The following is a 4385-nucleotide window of genomic DNA, read 5'->3' as shown; positions in this document are numbered from 1 at the left end:
TATTAGCTAAGCTTATTAGCTCATAGGCTTCTGTATTAGCTAACTTCCCTCCACTCCCTGATTCCCTAAGTCAACACAGCGCCACCCTCACACTCACCATACAGCATACTTATGAGGGCCTTCTGTGTCCCCAGGACTATACCAGTTATGAGAGACACAGAGGTGAGCTGGAAAGGGAAGGCCCCTGCCTGTCCTCATGGAGTTTCCATTGTGCCTGTACACAGTCAGGGCACTTCTCACACAGATGTATTGATATTCATCGCTCCAAATCTCTGCAAAGACCAGCACTATGTATGGCTTATCTTCATACCCCAGCACCCAGCTCAGTGTATGGTGAATATGAGTACTCAGTGAATGTTTGGGGGATGGATGGGTGGGTGAGTGGAAAGACATTCACCATAAGCTGGGTTCCTTTGCCTGCCCTATTTCTGGGTTCTATCCAGGACCTAGGAGTAAACTGTAAACATATTTCCTAACATTCCAGAATTTCAGGCAGCACCCTGAGCAATGAATGCTTTTATTCTTAACCTATTCATGCTCAAGACAGGGCTATGGGTAAAGCCTGCATGAGTGTTTGTGTGTGCGTCCCGCTCCCCCTCCCCGCCCCATACACACACATTCATTTATATCCATCACCAGTTCATTTGCAAAACATGGAACAGAGTCCTGTAGTCAAAACCTACTTTGGTGAAGATTTAGAAATCAAAATAAAGATGAATAGTTGTGTCTGACATGCTGGGACCACTTCAACAATGCTGTCTTTACACACACACATGCACACACACATACACAAACACATGTATGTATGCACGTATACCCATTTGGAAACAGTCCTCACATTATGGCTCAAGACAAACATTAATTCATGCCAAGAAAATAAAACAGAAATCTGCTTTCTGCTTTTCTCAGAACTGCCCTGGAAGCCACTGAGGTAAACAGGCAAGGTGGCAGGGAGCTCAATAGGCCTGGAGTCTGCTTGGCCACCCACTAGCTACATTAACATAAGCAAATCACTTCACCTCTTTGAGCCTCAGTCTTCTCACATGTAAATCAGTGTAGGAATAAAATAGACAACCACATTTTACCTACTTGCTGTCACTGATTTTTATTTTTTTATTTTTTTATTTTTTTTGTACAAAGAGGCCAGGAGCAGCCAGGCGTGGTGGCTCACGCCTGTAATCCCGGCACTTTGGGAGGCTGAGGTGGGTGGATCACAAGGTCAGGAGTTCAAGAGCAGCCTGGCCAAGATGGTGAAACCCTGTCTCTACTAAAAATACAAAAATTAACCAGGCACGGTGGCAGGAGCCTGTAATCCCAGCTACTTGGGAGCCTGAGGCAGGAGAATCGCTTAAACCAGGGCAGCAGAGGTGGCAGTGAGCTGAGATCGAGCCACTGCACTCCAGCCTGGGTGACAGAGTGAGACGTTGTCTCAAAAAAAAAAAAAAAAAAAAAAACCAGGAGCCTAGATCTTCAAAACAGGCAGAGGAGTTCAGAAGGAGCAGGAAGCAGAGTGTGCACCAGAAGTCAAAGAGGCAGGTGAGTGTTCAGTGAGGTATGACTGGGGCTTTACTTCTGGTAAAAATATAGTCTAATCCAGATCCTGTCTCCTAGCAATACTGTGGCCTTGGGCATGTCACTCCAGCTCTCTAGGCCTCTCTTTCTTCATCTGTAAAGTGGAAATCATAATGCTTTATCTGGCCTCAGGGTCTATAGCTGTCAGGTGCCCTCTTCCTGCCTCTGCTTCCTGCCTCACATCTCTGGTTTCTGGTCTGCAATGGCCTGTGAACTTGTGGTTTCCAGTCCAATAAGGGTGTCTGTGCTAAGCTCAAAAAAGCTTGCTGCACCCTCCAGAATGATTTAAATATAAACTACAAAGTTACCTAGTCTCAGGGAGGTATGAAACAGATGGATCTGCTAGTCACTGAAGATGGAAACCATAACCCCTTTATGCAACTGTTTGGCAGTACCTACAAAGGTCGAATACACACATAAACTTTGACCAGCAATTCTGCTCCTAGCTATGTTTATCCAAGACATGCACTAAGGTACTCATACCAACACAGCTTCTGGTGGAAATACCCAAATGCCCATTCACTGTAGACTGGACAAATGGATCAATTGTGGACCCTTCACATCATGGAATATTACAGAGCACTGAGGACACAGCCCAGCAACTACACACATCAGGTTTATGAAGAAACCTCACAAACATAATGTGTGGCAAAAGAAGCCAACACAAGAGTCTACCTGATTCAATACATATAAAGTACAGAAAAAGAAAAAAACAAATATATAGTGATGGTGTTGGAAGTGAGTGTCTTGAGGCATGGGTCACCGTCTGTATCTTTATTGGTCTGCTGATTTCATGAGTGTGTTCAGCTTGTGAAAGTTCATTAAGCTATTTATATACTTAGGTTAGGTGCACTTTTCTGTATGTATATTACACTTTACTTTTATTTAAAGACAGAGAGAGAAAGAAAGGAAGGGAGGAAGGGAGGGAAGAAGAAAGAGAGGAAGGGAGGGAGGGAGGGAAAGAAGGGCCAGTGAACTGTGAACCTGAGAGAGGGAGAGGGGAAAAGGAAGATGAACAGAGAGATTCCCTTCAAAGGAATATCAATAGGACTGATAGCTTACTTTTTAACAGAAACAATATGAACTGGAAGACAATGGAATAACATCTTTCAGTTGCAAAAAAGGAAATAACTGCCAACTAGAATCTTATATAGGTAGTAAAGTTATCCTTTGAAAATGAAGAAGACAAAATATTTTCAGGCAAACTGAAACAGAAAGAGACAAAAAATAGAGTGTTCATCACACAAGAGGAAAACAATCCCAGGGAGAAACATGAAAATAAGAGTGTGATAAAAGAACGTTGGGGAGGATAAATATAAGTAAGTAGTGACTGTATAAAGCAATACTTGTAATGTTTTGTGCAATTAAAAACTCTGTTGATTCAAAATGCAAAATGCTAAAACCAAACAAATAAACACAAATGGTGCTGGTGTAACAGAGCTGCCTATCCCCTCCCTTACATGCAAGAAAGAAGCATGTGCCCCCCTCAGAATCGCCATGACAAGCAATGACTTCTCTGCTGAGTCATGTCAGTGCAGCAAGTGCTGTCTAACACATACTGCCAACCCATAAGGCCCTGTGCTGGGACTCTACCAATCAGGAAGTCCACAGTTGAGGAAACTGCAGGTCAGAAACAGGAAGATCTTTATTCAAGTTTACACAGCTGGGGCTTGCACCTTTGCCACTTTGACTCCAAGGACTCCATTCCTAACCATTTCATCTAAAATGTATATGACCATGATGTATAGTTGGTGTACAGTCTGATACGCTTCGATTGTTAGATGCATTCTATACTTACCTATGGATCTGCAGTGTCTGTCTCTGAATAACTAAGTACAAGGGTTAAACTTACAATGATTCCATTAATTTGGTACTGTTATTCTCCATTAATTGGATGAGAAAGCTGAGGCACGGAGAGGTTCAGTAACTTGCCTGAGGTTACAAAGCCAGGAAAGGGTAGGATGGATCTGAACCAAGCATTCTGCCTCCCTTTTTTCCCTTTCTCTTAGCCAACACAAAGGCATCACAAAGCCTAAATCCTAATCCTTCTATGGGGGCACTCTGGAACCCTCTCTTCTCCAGGCTTCATTTCCCCATCAATAAAATGGGGTAGTTTCAATGGATTTACCTCTAATTCTCACCTCCATACCCCACCATGGCTCTAGCAATTTGGGCGCCCACGTATATGCACTGATTGTATTTAAGTCCAGTTGCAATACAAATGGAATTTTCATCCAAGAAGTTAAGAGAATTAGATGACACTCCAAAAGATGCTTAACACAGAATAAATGCCCAAAAGGACAACCCTGGCAGATCCTCAACTCTGCAAGTGAATTCTTTCAGTTACTCCTTTCCTCTGCTAAGTCCATCCTGTCAGCTATAACTGAGGACTCAGATTTGATAGACATTTATTTATGTGCCACAAGGGTGATGTGTGTGATCTCACCTCATCCTCCTCTCCAGATGAGGATGCTGATACTGAGGGAGACCAAGGTATTGGCACAGGATCACACCCCAGTAAAAAAGTGAAAGGTCCCTGAAAATCCACCCTTCTGCACACCCCAGCCCCTCTGCAGTCCTCAGCCATCTCCACTGCTCCAGATCTCATCCTCTGAAAGGCCTTCTCAGCTTTCTCATTCTAATATCTATCAGGACAGAGGATTGTAATCTTTCTTTTGAGAGAGGGTCATCTCTTTCACCCAGGCTAGAGTGCAGTGGTGTGATCATTGCTCACTGCATCCTAAAACTCCTGGCTCAAGCAATCCTTCCGCCTCAGCCTCCTGAGTATCTAGGACTCCAGGCATGCACCACTA

General features: G+C 43.6%; 1 annotated feature.

Moving 5' to 3' along the window:
• Nucleotides 216-385: an enhancer, noted in NCBI's record as "experimental_101278 CRE fragment used in MPRA reporter constructs". NCBI's record gives its function as "activates a minimal promoter by MPRAs in K562 erythroleukemia cells, with activity observed for both the introgressed and non-introgressed 8:134630402 variant alleles {active_cell/tissue: K562}" and the evidence as "EXISTENCE:reporter gene assay evidence [ECO:0000049][PMID:34662402]".

Source organism: Homo sapiens, chromosome 8 (assembly GCF_000001405.40).
Source record: "Homo sapiens chromosome 8, GRCh38.p14 Primary Assembly".
Classification (NCBI taxonomy): Eukaryota; Metazoa; Chordata; class Mammalia; order Primates; family Hominidae; genus Homo; species Homo sapiens.
Note: the sequence above shows the minus strand (reverse complement) of the source record. Positions and strands in the feature narration are given on the sequence as shown.